We start from the raw sequence: 20,560 nt of genomic DNA on the forward strand, positions 1-20,560 counted from the left end.
ATTTTTGTCTGACTCAACTGCATATGTTGACTTTGGCTCATGGGGCCATGTTTCCTGTGTGTTGTGATTTTCTATTCTTTTTTCTTTTTCTTTACTGTAAGTGTCCATTTCTTTTAAGTTTATCTGCAGAAATTACTTGAGGCCTATATAGTATGTGCTTCCAGAATGAATCTGTCTTCACTTCTGCCATATGCTGTGGAGCATTACAAAACCAGATCTCTGTTGAGGAAATTCTCAGCTTGGGGTCCTTCGGTCACCCTTGATAATATGAACTAAGACTGCAAACCTGCATGAAAGCCAGCTGCAGTTATAATTCTCAGGACAGCATTTTTCTTCTTCTAGTCAGTGACAGCACTTGAGACAAGAAATTTTCACTGCAGTTCCCTGGGAAGGTAGGTTTATTTCTAGTTTGCCTTTACTCTAAAGATATAGCCTTTGGGACCCCAGCTTTCTGCTAGGGTTGGTTTTTTTTTTTTTTTTTTTTTTTTTTTAAACCTATTAGTCTACTTTTTATCCTGCGTACCCTACAAGATAGAATCTGAAGCCTGGTTCATCACATTCTACAACAGCCAGCTTTAATGGTCCATTTACTGCTTTCTGAGTACCCTTAACTTTCAGTCCGCTCATGGATGCATTCAAAATGTATATTTTGGGGAAAAAACTTTACAGATTGGATATGTGTATGCATGTTTGTGAGTATGTATTATGTATATGTGATATTTGTGTGTGTGTGTGAGTAAAATGTATCTCCATATTTTTAGTTTACTTCAGCAGATGTTGCTTAGGGTATCACATCTACCATAATGCCAGAACACCAATTTTTAAGATGCCTAATATCAGCTTTAAATCTAAAATTAACAATCTATAATCTGATATCAAAAACTTTTCTGGGCCAGGTGCAGTGGCTCATGCCTGTAAATCCCAGCAATTTGGGAGGCTGAGACAGGAGGATCACCTGAGGCCAGGAGTTCAAGACCAGCTTGGACAACATAGAGAAACCCCCATCTCTACAAAAAAATAAAAACTAAAAATAGCCATGTGTGATGGCATGCCCCTGTAGCCCCTGCTACTCCAGAGGCTGATGTGGGAGGATAGCTTGAGCCCAGGAGGTTGAGGCTTCAGTGAGCTATGATTGCACTCCAGCCTGTGGAACAGAGAGACTCTACCTTAAAAAATTAAAAACAAAAAACTTTTCTCTTAGCAAGATTGTATGGTATTATTATTCTAATTTACATGAGATAACTGATATTTTGGTCCATATGTGTTAGATGAAACCCACAAAGCCAGATATTTTTTCAGTTTCCAAAATATTCACATATATGAAAATACAGAATGCACATTATATATTATGTAACACCCCCAGCAAAGTGTGGGGAGTATATACCCCTTAAACAGATACATGAACATTTTTTTTTTTTTGAGATGGAATCTTGCTCTGTCCCCCAGGCTGGAGTGCAATGGTGCAGTCTAGGCTCACTGCAACCTCCGCCTCCTGAGTTCAAGTGATTCTCCTGCCTCAGCCTCCCAAGTAGCTGGAACTACAGGTGTACGCCACCACACCCGGCTAATTTTTGTATTTTTAATAGAGGCAGGGTTTCACCATGTTGGCCAGGCTGGTCTCAAACCCCTGACCTTGTGATCCACCTGCCTCGGCCTCCCAAAGTGCTGGGATTACAGGCATGAGTCACCGCGCCCGGAACATGAACATTGCTTTAGCGAAACATCCAAGTAGGAAAGACAAGGCTATAAAAAGTCTTAATTTTGGTCAGTTTGGGCCACCACATAAAAGTTATGAAAACACTTTAAGATTGCAGAGCTTTTGCAGATTTCCACATTCTTTTGTCTTCAAGTAATTTGTCCAAAGGTCAACTTGGACCTAGGACTAAAACAGATTTTCTAACACTCCTTTCTAGGTATCACTAGGTTTGTTCCATACACTTGGATGGGGCATAGCTGTTACCAACCCGTGGGAGTCATTATTCTTGACTGGTTATATCTGAAATGACCTCTCTACTAAAAGGCTAATCATATAGAGTTTAGCTCATTCTGACTTAGAATTCTAACATACCAACATATTTTCCCATGATAGGCCAGTAATTATGTCTCTGAACTAATGCACTGAACTTACTGGTATTCACTGCATTTATCAATTCAATATAATTTTGTCATCTGTGTACCTTTATTTATTTATTTATTTTTATTTATTTATTTTTGAGGCAGAGTCTTGCTCTATCGCCCAGGCTGGAGTGCAGTGGCGCAATCTCAGCTCACTACAATCTCTGCCTCCCAGGTTCAAGCAATTTTCCTGCCTCAGCATCCTGAGTAGCTGGGATTATAGGCACCCACCGCCACGCCTGGTTAATTTTGTATTTTTAGTAGAGATGGGGTTTTGCCATGTTGGCCAGGCTCATCTAAAACCCCTGACCTCAGGTGATCCGCCCACCTTAGCCTCCCAAAGAGCTCGGACTACAGGCATGAGCCACCATACCCGGCCGTATCAATATTATTTACAGTAGTATGACTCGAGCTCTTTTAACTATATCCTTCCACATGCTATCATTTTCCAGTTTTCCACTATTACAGGTAAAATATCTAGTGTTTGAGAATTTACTGAATAAATTAATGAAAATTTGTGAAAGTTCAGCAGATATGTACATATTGCTGATAGTTTTTATGATATTACAGGGATTTTTACAACTTTAAGTTCTAGAAAAATCACTTGCTTGGTACATAACACACCTTGGGATTTTTTTTTTTTTTTAGCACGCATATTGGGAAAACAGTTTAGTAGTCAAATTTTGGAAACAACTGACCCACAACAGTTTAAGTACAGCAGTGTGACTGTGCAGTGATTCATGTATAAGGTAATCCTAGGTGTATTATGGATCCTAAAAAGTAAATGTTGTTTTACTTAAAACTCTAAGTTCGAAAAGTTACTAATCATAACAGTGTTAACACCAATCAGATTTTTCACAAAATTCACAAAACTAACCATAACCTGCCAATTACAATGTTTAAGTACTTAGATGTACATGAAACAACTTTACTGGAATAGGGAATTTTTTTACTTTTGTTGTTTATTTCAGGAAATAGTCCTATTCCTGAGTCTAGTGGTCATAACTATGTTCTGAAACTCTCTTCCATTTTCCACTAAGGACTTAAAGCTCCAGTTATAAGTTTCTTTAATTGCAAAATACACATGAATAAGAAGCCAATTCTAGATTTTTGACAGTAATAAAAAAAACCAGAGATTTCATGGATATTTTTATAAGTCTTTAGAAGTCATTTTAGTCAGTTTTAGCAATCTCTCCACTGAAAATTTTTCATCTAAGTCCCCAACTAGGACTTAAACTGATTACAGAATTTGATCTTCTTGTGTCTTTGGTATGTACATTAGGGTGTGATAGGAATGAAGAAAAGTGGTTAAAAGAACCAGGATAAAATGCAATTGGAATAATCATAAATTAGGATAAATTATAACTTAATAGTTTCTCAAAATACTCATTTCCTGATTTTTTTATTCTTTTTTAATAAAAATTAGGTGGAAAAAGCAGCCAGGTATGGTGGCTCAGGCCTGTAATCCCAGCACCTTGGGTGGCCAAGGAGGGCGAATCACTTGAGGACAGGAGTTCGAGACCAGCCTGGCCAACACGGTGAAACACCGTCTCTACTAAAAAATACAAAAATTAGCCGGGCATGATGGTGCATGCCTGTAGTTTTCAGCCACTCAGGAGACTGAGGCATGAGAATTGCTTGAACCCGGGAAGCAGAGTTTGCAGTCAGCCATGATCGCGCCAATATAGTCCAGTCTGGGTGACAAAGGGAGACTTTCTCTCAAAAAAAAAAAAAAAAAAAAGAATAGGTGGAAAATGTCATTCATTTACTCTATTATTTACTGATATGTGTGTGTGTGTGTGTGTGTGTGTAGCTCTATTTTAGGGGCTAGTCATACAAACATGATCTCTGTCCTTAAGAATCTGTATGTAATCTAATGAGGGGGATGAGATGTAAATGAACAACGTTCGATACAATGTGGAAAATGCTGTATGTGAGTCATCGACTAAATACTACAGGGGTAATTATATGGCCAATGAGGGGCTAGAAGAATGCTTCTCAGGAGACATAGGAGCTGGAAGTAGGAGTTTTTCATGTGTAATGGGGGCTCATTTTGGCAGAAAAAAACAGTGCAGGTGAAGGCCCAGAGGCCAAGAACAGAATGCTAAAACTGGGGAGAGGCTCAGTGATCAGACGTGGGACTTCTCATTTGACAAGTTAATTCTTTGGGTTCTTTTTTGGGAAGGCTCCTCATGTCATGTCAAAACCCTTTAATCTAGGAGACTGCTAAAGGAATAAAAATATCTACAAATTACTTATGTTATTTATAAAGTTGTGCATCTACGGAAATGTTTACTGCCTGAATGCTGCTATATATATCACTGAAGCTGAATCTCATGTGACTCTCCAGGGATAGGCTAAAGAGAGAACTGGAGAAAGAAGTGGCAAGAAAAAAGCAAACCCAGGGATTCACTCATGACAAATTATGTACAATTACAATCGTGTTGACATAAATGTTATGTTCTCTCTCCTTCTCCCTTTCTACTTGAAAACCACCTCAGTGGGACTACTGCTAGTATTCTGAACAGGTTTCATAGCTCATCTCACTTACTTTGGCAGAGTATCTAGCCATTTCTCACTTATTTAAGCGGAAAATAAATTATCGTGACTGTAGGAAACCAAAGATTTTAGGAATATAAATAGCAGGAAAATTACAGTCAAGAGAACTTAGAGATGCAACAGGGGGGTATGTAGCTTGTACAAGACAAAAAGTCTGGATTATGGGAAACAGAAATTTAAGATCTGAAGGGTTTGGGACTAGGCAAAAAGAATGAGGTCAGGGATTGGGTGTTTGTCCTTGCATCCCTTTTTCTGGAGTTTCCACATGGCCCTGAATCCTCTCTGTAGGGTCTGTCCTGACCATTTCAGCCCTACAGGCTCTACTTCCTTAACTCTCCAACCACTGGAGGTTTGCTTATGTGTTATATTTATTGTGTCAAATAATGGTATTCACTGCATAATTTGAATTGATAAATACAGTGAATACCAGTAAGTTCAGTGCATTAGTTCAAAGACATAATAAATATGTACCATTATGTACCATTCTCAGGAGAGAATGGCAGAGTCTCAAAATAAATACACATGCAAACTCTATTATGAAAGTGAGAGTATTCACCTATTTGGGAGGGAGCAGAGTTCTCACCAAGGAAATTTTACTAGTGGCAGCAGAGTCCAGCAATCAAGTCAGGACCTTCACAAGAATCTTCAGTCCTGCCCTCTAAACACCGGTTATGGGTTTAAGAAAAACAACAAAAAGATGAACAAAGTGGAACAAGAGCTCCTAAATGTCAATGATTACAACATAAACAAAATTATTTATCATTAAAAAAACTTCATAAAAGCTTGGCAAGATATCAGTAAGTCACTGGCAGAAAAACAAGGTGGGATTAAAATTCTCAAGGGAAAAAAGCAGACTGAGGAAGGGCTTTTTTTTTTTTCTACGATAAACTGATGACTGAAGTTATGATTTAGACTTTCTTTTGCCCTTTGGAAAGACATTACTTATTTTAAGGCTGATTCTAAAGGAGCTCTTTTCTAACATGTAAAATATGTTCATTTGAGCTAGCAAACAAATACATAAAGATACAGAAGCCATACCTATTGAAAAGATAATCGGTATGAACCTATTGATTATTATAATCCTAATCAGGTAAGACTAAAAAATGTACACAATACCTATGTATATGGGCAGGACTAGAAAAAATTGTAAATCATGAGAAGAGTTCTCTATCAGGGCAGTACAGTTAAATATATTTCCTTTGTTGTTGGTTTAATAGAGATTAAAAGACAAAGAAGAAGAGAAGAAACCCATAAAAATGTCCATCATAAGTGGTTGTCTCTAACAATCAAATAAATATTATTACAGATGAAAGAATATTTACCAAATTACAGGCTAACATTTTTACTTTAAAAAATCAGGCCAGGAAAAATCCCGGAGAGGGTCCACTGGGCACCAGCTTCATCAGTTCCTCCTTTCCAACCACTCAAAGCTGAATCAGGACATCCCTTCTGCTTCTATTCTTCCTCAAACTCCTCTCATTACTGAATCTGCTGCTTCTATGGGAATACACAGCAGAAAGTTCCTTTTAACACCTCTGCAGGACTGGGGTCACTTCAAAGTCCTTCTGAGTATATGGAGCTCTGGTCAACTCCACATTGTTTCTACCATAAAATGTAGATTAGTCAACCAAATCACTAGAAGGAGGTCAAAAAACACAAACCCTTTCCATTCCCAAGAACCAGTGGCCAATTAGAATGCTTTCTTTACCTCTAGCATTCCAAGAGCACTGGAATTCCAAAGCAAATTATAATTTTAGGAAGAAAAAATATCACTGAATCATGGTTTCTCTAAGCCTCAGGGTAATAATTTTTCCTGTAATAGTTAGAAACTCAAAACATGTATGGATTGCATAAATTTTGAATGCTTTGTTCTATAAAAACATGGTCCTTCATGAATAATGGAGAAGCAAAGGAGAGAGAGAACAATCCAAGTAAAACAACACTTTTCTGGATTCTGAGAAAATTCCAGATAGAGAACAAAAACCTTGCCAGCATGTTCCACTTCATAAACAACGAAACTAAGGTTGTTCTGCTCATTCTCTGTAAGTCTTTTCAATAACAAAATATTCCTCATTAATAAAAAGGTCATACCTTGGCATTCTAATTGTTGAATAAAGTTAGAAACATGCTTAGTTTATGTTAGTAAAAGGTGGCTGCAAATCCTAGGCACAAAAAATGTGATACAAATTTGGGTACTTAGTAGGGTATAATCACATTGTGATTACACATAGGAATCACACTGTGTATGCTTTGAACAATTTTCTTAGTGTTTCTCAAGTACCAATAACAAATGGTGTCTATTTAGGAAAGAAACATGGTCCTCTTAAGCTGTGTTATGAGTAACGATACTATTTACAGGGTGAATGACAACCAAGGTATTCAATAGTGATCCCATTTTTCATTTCTTTTCTTCCATAAGATCAATTCCAATAATCACCTAGAGGAAAATACTACTTCATATACTTCCCTTTGAGTTTTAGGGTGAGCTAAAATAGCCCTTCAAATCACTCCCTTCATACAAGGACATGCAGAGCAGCAATTGGAATTAAGGCTAAAAAAAGAGGAGGACAGATGATAACACTGGTGACCAGAACCAGTTATTTAAGACTGCTTATATGATTCTCCTTAAATGAGACCATTAAGAGTTTGACAGATAACTATCTACCTGGATAATTTTGATGAGATCCTTAAAGGCACAAGAATGCTCTCTTATGTTACTTGCCAGTCCTATGATGCTGCACTATCAGCCTAAGATGATATTATTAACTGTTTATGGCTCATCAAAAGACCTTCCAGGCCAGGCGTGGTGGCTCATGCCTGCAATCCTAGCACTTTGTGAGGCTAAGGCAGGCAAATCACTTGAGGTCAGGAGTTCAAGACCAGCCTAGTCAATTGGTGAAACCCTGTCTCTACTAAAAATACAAAAAAAAAAAAAAAAATGGCAAGGTGTGGTGGTGTGCACCTGTAATCCCAGGTACTAGGGAGGCTGAGGTGGGAGAATCCTTTGAACCCAGGAGGCAGAGGTTGCAGTGAGCGAAGATCATGCCACTGCACTCCAGCCTGGGCAACAAAGTGAGACTCCGACTCAAAAAAAAAAAAAAGACTTTCCAGTTAAATTGCTACTAAATGTAAAATAACACATTCCCTTCCTTGCCCTTCCCAAGTTGCTTCTTAGAACTTAAACACTCCACTAACAAGTGAAGAAAGAAAATTAATGAGGCATACAAAATTTTTTTTCTTGAACAATATTAAACTACTGCATTTTGGTGGTGGTGGTAGTAAGGTGCTAAAGAGAAATATTTTCTTTAATTTAAATCACCTAGGAAGCTTTTCACCAAACTACTGTATCTTTCCTCCCAGGTTATTTTTTATTTATCTTTTTTTTTAGGAGTCTCAGTGTATTTTCCAGGCTGAATTCAAACTCCTGGACTCAAGTGATCCTCCGCCTCAGCCGCCAGAGCAGCTGGGACTACAGGTGGCGCCACTACATCCAGCTTATTTTAATTTAAACTACTCAAGCAGTGGCTCATGCCTGTAATCCCAGTGCTCTGGAAGGCCAAGGTAGGAGGATCACTTCAGGCCAGGAGTTTGAGACCAGCCTGAGCAACATAGCAAGGACCCGTTTCTATTTAAAAATGTTTTAAAAATTAGCTAGGCATTTAACTTGGAGGTCCAAGCTGCAGTGAGCTATCATGGTGGCACTGCACTCCAGCCTGGGTGAGGTGACAGAGCAAGACCCTATCTCTAAAAAAAAAAAAAAAAATGTTTTAAATAAAAATCTACTCAAGAGTATCTACACAATGCCTACACAGCTATGCAAAAGACCACCACAAAAACACACTTCCATATATCACTGGACATAATTTTGGCTGAAAGACATTTGGAAACACTCTAAACTCAAGCAACAGCATCAAAGCCAATCTCCACAAATTGCCTACATAGTCTGAAAAACAAGGTTGCTGAATACCCACCAAATGCCTGTGTTTTTGAGTAGTACACAAGCTGATATAAGCTACTAGGCACAATTATGGCTTCTATGAGACATGGGCTCTTTGGAAACATAACTTTTTTTTAGTTTCTGACATGCTAAGAGTCCTAGATAAAACCCTGCCTTTATGCAGCTTATTGTATCAAACATATCTCATAAAAAGCTTAAAATGTAAAAACTCCCAGTAAAAAAAACTAAGGTGCGTTGTATAGGGTATGATGATATAACAGTGAGTTCAATGAAATACTGGTTGTATAAAACCACATATGAAATCAGGGTTATTTCTTTCTAGTGCAACAAAATGCACTGAAGCAGTATTAGGATTTAGGTCAACCTGGAAGGAAATTTCAAATTCAAGGTAAACGTTTTTATTGACAATTTGGATGAGGATCTAATTAGGCAATGGGGCTACAGCTTCAGGAATCCAAAATGTATCACAGGACTAGACTGATGTGCCTACCCTTAATAAGGATAAAGGCAGGTATTTGGGTCCAAAAAGAATTTATTTCATATTCACATTATGTAAAAAACATAATTAACTAGTCCGGCTGATAGGAGCTCTCCCTTGTTAGTATTGTATTCCCACTGACATTCTGGAGACGATTCTGTTCCCCAGCCAATGAAGAGGTTTTACTGTTCTCTTCCTTCAGCAAGGAATACTATCCCATTCTGTACCCCCTCAAAATCTTACCCATGTCTTAAAGCACATACTTCCCAGAAAGCTTTGTCTTGGCATCCCAATTAGAATCCCTTTTTCCTCTTCTATTCTGTTTTTGCAACTCGAGTCTCATTTAGAGTCCTTTCAGGATAGCACCTTGGCAGATAACCTAGATCTCAAAGTATACTTTGAGACCTGGAGTGCAGGCACTATGGGCCCTCCAGAGGTTTTCTTTATGAAAACTAGTTGATATTGTTTACTGAACTAGCCTGCATCAGAATCACCTGGAGGGATTTTAATAAAATGCAGTTTTCTAACAACCCTCAACTACAGCATTCTCAATAGATATGGGATGAGAGCGAAAATCTGCCTTTTTTTTTTTTTTTTTTTTTTTTTTGAGGCAGGGTCTTGCTCTGTCACCCAGGCTAGAGTGCAATGGCACAATCTCAGCTCACTGCAACCTCCACTTCCCCAGGCTCCAACCATCCTCCCCGCTCAGCCTCCTGAGTAGCTAGAACTATAGGCATGTACCACAACACCCACCTAATTTTTTGTATTTTTTAATAGAGATGGGGTTTCCCCATGTTGCCCAGGCTTGTCTCCAACCCCTGGGTTCAAGCAATCTGCCTGCCCCTACCTCCCAAAGTGTTGGGATTACAGATGCATCCAGCCTGAAATCTGCATTTCTTTTTTTTCTTTTTTTGAAATGGAGTCTCGCTCTGTCGCCCAGGCTGGAGTGCAGTGGTGCAGTCTCGGCTCACTGCAACCTCCACCTCCCAGGTTCAAGCGCTTCTCCTGCCTCAGCCTCCCGAGTAGCTGGGATTACAGCCACACACCACCATGCCTGGCTAATTTTTGGATTTTTAGTGGAGACAGGGTTTCACCATGTTGGTCAGGCTGGTCTCAAACTCATGACCTCGTGATCCGCCCGCCCCAGCATCTGCAACAAGTTCCCAGGTGATGCCGATGTGGCTGATCTGGAGACCACACTTTGAAAACCACTGGGTTAGATCAACCTTATTAAATGAGAGTTTATCATGTAACTTTTATTTAAATGTGACAGTGACTATGTAATCATGGAATACAAGTAATACATGTTAAGCAATTACAGACTCGTCCTTCATTAGGTGCCTGTACTCTCCAGCATAGTGTCCCATGTTCAGTTTATGGCCTAATTCTCAGAATGGGCCAGGGCTGTAAGCTCAGTCTATCAGAGAAACCTCTGTTGGAGCTCATCCACCTAGGACTAAAACTATGTCCTTTAAAAAAAAATTTCTTTAAGGAAATGGGGTCTTGCTGTGTTGTCCAAACTGGACTCGAACTCCTGGGCTCAAGTGATTCTCCTGCCTCTGAGACTACAGGCATGTGCCCACTGCACTGGCAAAACTGTGTCTTTTAAATCAATAAATGCGGGGTTGGGACGGACTTTAGAGGTCCAGTTTCCTACTCAATAAACTCCTTTGATAACATCCTTAATAGATGGTTTCATGGCAACCCTCACCTCCACCATGAATGATCTGTGTCTGAGATTCATTACATCAGAAAATAATCTCATTTTATTGTCATATATGTGAGGATGTCTTCCTTAAACTTGGTTCTATTTGCCAAGACTTCTATCTACTCATTGGTACAGGCCCCTAATCTCTTATCTGAAATCCTTGGGGCTGCACGTCTTACAACTTAATTTTTCAGGTTTTAGATAGGGCACACATACTGTGTGTTTTATACTCTCCCCAGTGGGGTCCAGGGAAGCACTCCATCATCAAACACATTTGTATTTTCGCAGTGAAGCATATAAATATTCACAATTAGTGGGCTAACGAGTATATATAAATAACTTCACATTAATTAAAGTTGGATTTTGCCACCAAATTTACCAAAAAAAAAAAAAATCAACTTTCACATATCTTTCAATTCCAAATTTACAAATAAAGAACTGTGGACATATATTATTTTGTCCTCAGTGAATACACAAGTAAGTCCACTTCCTCTTCCATGCTAGCAGTCCTTCCACTATTGGAAGACAGCTCTTACACTTCTCCCTTATCCACTGTGCCTCCACACGTCATACTTCTAAATTATCAACTGACAAATTAACCTAGTGTAATCAAAGAGGGCTAGAATAGGGCTCTACTGCTCATCCAGAGCAGCTTTCTTTCTTTATTTAAAGTTCAAATGTAGAATAATACAGGGCACTGGAGGAGCAGGCTACAGCACTGGCACTCCATCCTAGAAAAGAGGAGACTGGAGAAGCTGATGGGCCACACAGAGTTATTCCAAATACATCAAGACATACAGATGAAGGATTAAACTCTTATCAATGTGATTCCAAAACAGGATAAAAAAGAGCACGTATTGCCCATTACAATGTGCTAGGCACATCTGATGGTTTGCATGCATACTCTCCATTCCTCACTCTGCTCTATGAAGTAGGAGGTAACATCGTTTTATACATGAGGAAATTAAAACCCTGAGAAGTTAAAGTAAATGGCTCAAGGTCACATAGCAAGCCAAAGGGAGATCCAGGATTCTTATCTGATTCCCAAGTTGAAGCAGAACCCTTTCATATACTCAAAGGGTAATGATAACCCACCCAGCATCCCTGCTTCTTCATACATTTTAATCAATGACTTTAAAAGGGATACAGATGCCTGCCTTTCAAATTCCCATATGACAAGAAAATGGAAGGAATAAAAAACACTACATCACTAGGTCCAAAAAGACCCCAAATGACTAAAGTGACCAAGTGAATTGAGAAGGGGGGTGCTAATATAGATTACAATAAAACATTGCAAGTTGATGGGTCCATAAACCAAACTTGTTAGAGGAAGACAGGAGTTTTAGCTGCCTAAAATCTACTTTGAGCCCAGGTGTCAAGACGCTATTAAGACTCTAAAACCTGCAGCGCATTAATGGAACTCAAACATCCAGAATGAGGGAAGCTACAGACCACTCCTATCCTGTGGGGGGCCAGCTCAATCTGAAGCACTGAGTGTACTTCAAAACCCAAACTTTTATTGGGCCAAAACAAAGAATGTAACTAGGAGTGGGGCCACAACAGCAAACGTTCTGAAACCAGCAGGCACGGAGAATTAAGACTGTTTAGCCTGGAAGAGTGATAAAGGGTAGGAGGAGGCAAATGACAGCAGGCTCAAATACAGATGGAGATGTGCTTCCATCTATTTCTGGTGATGGCCCTGAAATGCAAGCATCCCTTCCAGTGGAGGCTCAGGATGGCGAGAGTGAAGGTGGAGGGAGTTATTCCCACTGGGGGACTGGCATGCCCCAGGAGAGGTACAGTGCTGTGTCTGCTAGCCGGCAAGAACAGGGGCCTCTAGGCAACAACGCCCTGCTTTGTCTATGGAGAGCCTCTAGCAGTGGGAACTGGGGGTAAGGAAGCTGGCTGAGTGACACTTCAATGGCCTGCCAGCGGGGGAGTTGTTTTTAGGCAAGTGGAGACTTGTAGCCCTCCTCCAGCCATATAGTGTAGGTAATTATCCACTGTGAGTCCTTCAAGCTAACCTGCTTGGAGCCTGCAATTCCTTCTGCTCTCCTCCCACGCACCCCATGGGCTGGCTCCAAGAACTTTTTCTTTTTGGCTTCATCCCCCTTTCCCCCAATCCTGCCCAAATGTGAACTGTACAAACAGTATGACTTCTTCCTTGCCCATACATGAAGAAAATCAGTCACAAAATTACTACACAAACAGGTTGAATGAGCAAAAACTGGTCTCAGCTGCTCAGGGGAAGGTGATGATGTGATGTGAAAATAATGAAATCTTTCAAGGGTTAAAATTCAGGTAGAAAAAAACAAAACAAGTTATGGTAGACAAGAGAAGAAAACAGGAAATAACTCTGAACTTAAATGTAAAATAACTTTCAGAAGCATAGTTCATTTTTTCTAAAATAAATGTGCAAACATTAGAAGTTCCATAAAGAACCTGCACCTATAAAATTTCACGTGGTGTTGGTTTAGCATGCTATAAAATTCGTATCTTTCTTAACCATTTCTGCTTTGTCCTTCTACTATATGCGTATTCCCCCCAAAACCTTCAAAACTTAAATTCTACTGGCTATTTGACCAAGTATTCTAAAATCAAAGGATTAATCTTTATAAAAACATGTACAGTTATATAGCATATTGCCAGTTCAAATACTTCTCATCTCCTTAAATTTCCTTTTTTTTTTTTTTTTTAAACTTTAGATGCTTATGCTGCATAGTATTATAACAATTCCAGGTTTGGATACCCCACCCAGATCTGGAAAGTTCAGCAATACATATGATCAAATGCCAGAAGTTTGCCTTTCAGGGGTCTTATAACTGCAGACCTAGAGTTACGATTCACACATTGTATAAAACATGCTATTGTAATTCTTACGGTGACTGAATAGTTAAATCTAATAATATAGGGTCATTTGCCCTTCAGTAAGGTGTCTTTTTCTTTAAAAAACATAAATGTTTGTGATTATTTACCCTACTGTGCTTATAAGATTTTAAAAATAATGTTCTAACTCAAAATATCCAAGGGTAAAAAGGGAAATAACTTCCAATAATTTTTATGAAATTATATAAGTATGTAGTCATTGAAAACTAAATAGCTACCAATAAGGGCTCTAAGTCTTCCTTTAAAATTCTGAGAGGTTGTCTGGTCATTTTTGCTAAGGATAAAGCTATTTAACCCAGACTAAGTTTCTTCTGGCTTATTAAAAAGTCAACTTTTTCTTTATTGTAAGTACTTTAAAATTGACTTTAATGTTAGTTAAAATATGTATTTGGTGCCTCTCCCTAAATAAGTATTGTAATTATTCTTCAAACAGTACAGAATTTTGAAGCTACGAAGAATAGTTTTTTAAATAGTTATTTTCAACATTTTTTACAAAACATCACAAATCATCAAAGCTAGCAATTTCCTATTAAAACAGAAAGTCTATTGCAAAGGCGTAAGAATAATACAATGGACTTTGGGGACTCAGGGGAAAGGGTGGGAGTGGGGTGAGGGATAAAAGACTCCACACTGGGTGCAGTGTACACTGCTCTGGTGATGGATACAACAAAATCTCAGAAATCACCACTAAAAAAACTGATTCATGCAATCAAAAAAGCAATTAAAACAGAAAGTCCAAGTAATATTTTAAACATCATAAAGCTATCTTCATACTACAACTTAGATTTTTCAATGTGGAGTTTTTATGTGATAAAAATGCCCTCAAAGATAGGAAAAGAGGAAAGTGGCACTGATTTGTTGGCATGAGGATTAGAGGCTGTGTGTGCTGGGGGGAAGAAGAGCAAAGTCTGAATGTAGGAAGGAACGGTATTGGTTACTTTGCTGTCCAGAGTCTGGTACTATTCAGAAGACTATAATAATCTATTAACTTGAATCTTGCTCATCTCACCCATCATATCCCTGAATATTATAAATTTTAGATCCTAATTTATATTTTGTGATTCAAAATATTTGAATATGGTTTTCCTGTTACCATTCCAAATGCTAATGAATTGCACACTCATAGACTCTGTAATAAAAACTTAATATTGTCCTATAGAATATATCAACCCAATATAACATGCCAAAATATAACATTCACCTAATTTTAAAACATTTTTCCTTTGAAAGAGATATATAATTTCCTTTAGTATATTAACATTAAAAAGACTAGGGAAAAATGTGAACTATGATTTTGCTTTCCTAAATTCCAAATTACTGAAACCTAAGAGGTTAACAAATTATTAACCACATAATTTTCTCTCATGATTATGCAGCCTTTAGGATGACCCCAACAAAATCTCCTATTTTTGCTTCTTCAACAGAAATACAGGTTTAGATGAGACTTGTTGGACTCAGTTCTTTCCTCCACCCATGGCCTCTACTCGGGGAGCTGGTCAAATGTGGAATTTCGAATATCAAATATGTATAAAATAAATAGATGAAAGAGTACATCTCAAAAGGTCAGTAATGAAATGCAAATAATGTTTTCATGATGTATGGAATGGAATTGTTATTTTCCAACAACAAAAAGAGGTATCAAGTATGCTCTGTATTTGCATTGCCTTTACACAAGCCTATGGGTCGCTACTATGATTACTCCCATTATACAGATAAGGAAAGTGAGCATTATAATGCTTTAGGAACTTGCATGGCAGTGAAATTCAAGCACAGGCAATCTGACTCATGAGCTTTAAACACTGCATTATATGTACAGGTGTGTATGTGTGTGTATACACACACACACACACACACACGAGTATGCCTGACAGCTTACCTAGCATATACATTTCTACACAAAGGGGGCTTAGGAACAGCAATCTGGTTGCAAGATTGAAGTAAATGCTGTATCTGAAGAATATTTTTACTTAGCAAAGGTGTTTATTTGGGGTGGTGAAGGGTATTGCTGGAGATTATGGGGGCTAGCCCCAACTCCTCCAAACGCCTTGAAGTTGCCACTGCCTATATGAGAATAGAAGAGCTGAGAATTTAGGGCTGAGAACATCAGGAATTCAAAGATGCTTCCATGGGGGACAGAACGGAGCTTGCTGACGCATGATGCCTATGTGACCTACATGTGCCACCATGCCCCATTTTCCTCCTCTGCCTTCCCTTCCTTGCATGTAAACATGAAGCCACTCGTAGCAACATCCTCTAAGTAGCCTGGAAGGATAACAAGGATGGATTACGGATAGGAAATGGTAGAGACTGGACTGGAAATGCTAGCTGAACCAGGCCTGAAGGAGAGTTGGAGGACAAATACCTAAAAATACAGACTGAGATTCCCTGCCATGGTATAATTGTAAGAAACTAGAAAGAATCTTCATTCCCCTCTTCTCAGGGCCTATAGAACATACTGCTAAGCTTCAATGTTTACAGTAAAGTACATTCATTAATAGTTCCAAGAAATGTTCAGCCTTAGATGTGTGGAAGCGGCTCTGCCATTTTTCTGCTCATTAACTCTATACTGGGAAATATAAGTTGCAACCATCAGTGCGTGGTTGTTTTCCATTTGAGTTTACATAGTTTTCAAAACAATGAATCATCTGAACTATGCAAAGGAAAGTTATGATGGTTTTAGTCAAATGATTAACTAGAGTTTATATATAGAACATGCATCTTTAAATAGCATGGCATCTACATCTACAATGCCAAGCTAACTATCCTTTTCTCCCTTAAAACCTGGAAACTTGAAGGGCTGTTAAATGTGACTATGTCCAGCACAGATCACAGGGCAAGGTGCAGGCCGGGCTCCACAGTGGTTAGGGAGGTGGATGCAGAGCCTGGACCTCCACCCTGGCCCTGCTGGCCCTGCTGGCATTAGCTCAGGAACATGACTCTCTCGGTAAGGAAAACAAAGAGGAAGCAAAGGGAAGGACAAGAATGAAATATGTGCTGCCATTTTGTGAGAGACCTTTAGGGACGTTAATAGAGGAACTAGGATCATCTCACAAACATTTACAGCTGTAAAACAATTGAGTAAACTAGTTTATTGTTTTCTAAAAATATGTAAAAATGTAAGGCTTTTTTTTCAAACTATAACTTGGATTCATAAAAATATATACTGGCTCATATGTTAAAATACCATCTAAAATGGTTCAGATAGTTATAATTAATATCCAAAAATATCTGACATTACCCACAAGAAACAGAGGAAAAACACAGATTTCTTACCTCAAAAAGAATTCATGGGGACTTTCTAGCTCTCCTTAGAAATTTGGCTTGAAGCAAAAACACACTATAGAGATTTGCCTTACTTTTCATGTAAATCTCAGCTTTCAATAAACATAAAAATACACACACACACACTCCCCTCAATTTATATTCAAAATATCAAGGGATTATCAAAACCCCTAATTTGCCGTCGAAGTCTGTGGCAAGTTTTATACCTTGAGTGAAATGCAGTCTAATTCCTATGTGGTTATATTTTAGAGGGAGGGGGGAAAAGCAACTTCATTGAAGCCAACGCTCCAGGCAGCCCTGGAGCAGACTGGATCCAGTTTGAAAAGAACTGGCAACCCTAAAACTTTTTGATAAGATAAAAATTCATTGATGTTGGCTCATATGAGGCCCACTTCAACTCTGCACTTGTCCTCCGTGTTTCCTTGGCATATCTGCTCCTTTCCTCTATCTACTTTAGCATAACTTTATTTTTCTCTTTTATCTTTCGATAACTGCACCCAGGGACCGGAGGGGATTGATTTTTTGTTTTGACTTATTGTTTGAAGATCTGTAACTCAAAGCAGCTCTCACGCCTCTGATGTCTAAGCTGGAGCAGCATAAAAGGTAAACCCAGGCCTGGGTATCAAACTGAGCAGAAGCAATACCATTTTATAATCAGCCATCTAGGTTTTCATCTTATTTTGACTTTCCCCTCACCCGGAGTCAGGTTAGCTAGCAAAGTGCGAGGTTACTCCTACGCCTTTGTTAGGTGACAAGAAGCAAGTTAAAATAAAAATAAATACCTCGATAGCTTTGCATGCCAGGGCTTCAAGATTAAGCATACTTGTACTTAAAGCAAAAAGTTATTTCCTACCTAGAAAAATGCCTTGCTTTTCTTCTCAGTGAAAGGAAACTTCAACACATTTGAGAAAGTTGCTTTTCAAAAATTAAATCTGAAAACAAGGGAAGATGGTACAACTGACAAAAATCATTTCCCCAAAAAGCCTCAATCAAGGTGAAAAAACATAATGCTTTTTTGAGACAAGTTTACAGACTCAAAATAAAAATGTTATTCTTGAACCAGAAGATGTTTAAAGAGAGATCCATATATATTAGGTTAGAAAGTTAGTTGTGTTTTCAGAGTTTGGTGTTAGCAGTAGTATGTACTCCAAATCAGCAAGTGTAATAAACCAAAGTTAAATTCACTTTCCTTCTCTCTTTCAGTATAATCCTCAAATTATTAGGATTATTTTTGTCCTAATTCAGCCAATATCAAATTCATATGTTAGTCTCTGTACATACAAATATTCACAAGAGTTTTGAGGGTCTGTTCCCTGAAGTTGTTCAGCTTGCTGAAATATGGTTACATATGCAAACATTATCTCCCAATTGTAACCTCATTTTCTGCTCTGCTGGACAGCGTGACCAGTATTTGTCATTGTGCCTCCCCCCCCGCCACATCATTCATATGTCTATAATTGTCATCGAGATGTGGCATGTCAGCGGGACTCCAGTGTTCTCTGCTCCCCGTCTTCACACAGTCACTCAGGTAACAAACCCGTAATCTCGTCCTGTTTTCATGATGGTTGAATTACACATAATTGTTTCTGCACAGTGATTGATTTCTGCCTGAATAGAGACCTCTGCCTTTTTTCAATGCAAGCGAGTGGCAGCCAAGTCTCTCCATCTAGGAGGAGGCAGCAGCCTTTGAAGAGATCAAAGCCAAGGCCGCAAGCAGTTGTGCGCCCTGGGAATATGGAAAGCCTTTATGCTCTCAACCCCATTTCCAGCATCATGTTGGATTGCAGCTGCATTACATTCTGCCAGCATTCTTAATGCTTTTAGTATTGACTCTGACATCACCGATAGCTGTTTTAAAGTAACAAAAGCCGAAGGATGACTTATTTTCACAACTCTGTAATTGGAACATGCAAAGATGGGGGTGGGGAAGCAAGAATGAAGGGGAGGGAAATACATTTGCTTTTAATTTAAAGCAGCACAAAAGGCCCAGAAAAAAAATTATGTAAGTTTCCACAAATGAAAACCATGTTTTTCATATGGAAAAACCAGCAGGGGCATTTTATAACTCAGACCACACAAAATGAACTGATGGCTAAATACACACTTTTTCAAGCCTAAAGGGTAAAATAAAAATGATGGGGTAAGTGATTCCAATTGGGAAAGGGACTCTAACATGTATTTGGTCTGAAGACTTTGCAGACACCTGATGCAAGGTGAACGGGTGCAGCTGCTAAAGACCTGTCCCGCGCCCTTACCTGCTCCTCCTTAGCCCTTTTTAATCAACTAAGCAGAGCAGATACTTGCATTTGTAAGAATCACAGGTTTATTTGGGAAGTTGTAAATGCATGATTCCATTAACAGAAGAGGAAGAACAGGAAAGTCAAAGGTGGTTTTCAATTCTGGCTCCAGATACAGAGACACAAATCAGTATGACAGGATCACGTCTTGACAAGTGAATCAAAACCTAATGCCACCAAAAGAGGCAGAAAAATTCCTAAGAACATAATAACCAAAATACATCAACACTAGTATCCTATTTCTTAAAATGGAAATTAAAAGTAAAGCTATTTCTAATTTTTTAAAAATAATTAAGACATTTTGGACTTATGATTAAATACATTGTGTAATTCATCCATTATTACATTTAAAATCAACATAAAAAGCAAGCAGGGCGACCATAAATCACTATACTATGTCTCTGGTGCTACATATAGTGTTACATATGTCCAGTAATCACTCCCTAGTAAGAAAACCTTCCGTTATTCCAATTCTAATTTTTAATTGCTGCCTTTGAAAATGTCTGCCCTAATCAATATTACATAGCTCTACAGAGAAACTCTGAATTTACATTCACATTGAAATGACAAGATTATGGATGGAGAGAGCAGGAAAGTAGAATCTTAAGAGAATTTATAAAATAAAATGCATCTCGTTTAACAAAGTCCCCTTTTCACAAAGATTTAATATTGTTTATGTAGATAGTAGTCAATGAACCATCAGTCTTTAACTTTTCCAAGTCTACAAAGTTCTAAAACTTATTGACATAGGAGAAATGACTATGAAATAACTGCTTCCTTTCATTCTGCACAAAACTTCTTAGTTCTGAAACACCAAGTAATTGGCGAACAAAAGCCATCTTTGTTTGAAAGGATTTTGAATCAACAGACCTGGCTGTAAGGTACCCAACTGTAAATTTTCTTTGAAAATTTGTCTGTAACTGTGCAGAACTGGAAAACTCTTTCTTTTAACAACCTGCCTACTTCAGTTTACTGGGTTACAGTTTTTATGTTTGTTTCATTTGGGGTTTGTTTTGCTTTAGAGGAAAGGGTACAAACTACATGAATTCAGAATTGCAAAAGCAAAATCAGCAAGAAAACCTGAATAATAACATCTCAAAATCTGTATATTTTTCTCTTGGAAAAGTGCCATCTTTCCTTAATTTTACCATTTTCGGAAAATGCCGGAAATAAGTTCCAGTGTTATCAAATATTTTTCTGTAGGTTGCATTCTTAATAAGCTTATCACATTTTCCATATCCCAAGGCCCCCTTCTAATTTCAGATTATCAGGCAAAA

The 20,560-nt window shown here is 38.4% G+C and overlaps 1 protein-coding gene across 11 annotated transcripts in view, besides 1 other annotated feature; it reads right to left on the reverse strand.

Annotated features, from left to right (window-relative positions):
- The window catches only part of LEF1 (lymphoid enhancer binding factor 1), a 121,385-nt gene that overhangs the window by 75,421 nt on the left and 25,404 nt on the right, over positions 1-20,560 (reverse strand). The window lies entirely within an intron of this gene.
- Positions 12,449-13,000: an enhancer, noted in NCBI's record as "OCT4-NANOG-H3K4me1 hESC enhancer chr4:109056573-109057124 (GRCh37/hg19 assembly coordinates)". NCBI's record gives its function as "activates a minimal SCP1, AML or CMV promoter by ChIP-STARR-seq in naive and primed H9 embryonic stem cells {active_cell/tissue: H9 hESC(naive and primed)}" and the evidence as "EXISTENCE:reporter gene assay evidence [ECO:0000049][PMID:30033119]".

Source organism: Homo sapiens, chromosome 4, assembly GCF_000001405.40.
Source record: "Homo sapiens chromosome 4, GRCh38.p14 Primary Assembly".
In the NCBI taxonomy this organism is placed as follows: Eukaryota; Metazoa; Chordata; class Mammalia; order Primates; family Hominidae; genus Homo; species Homo sapiens.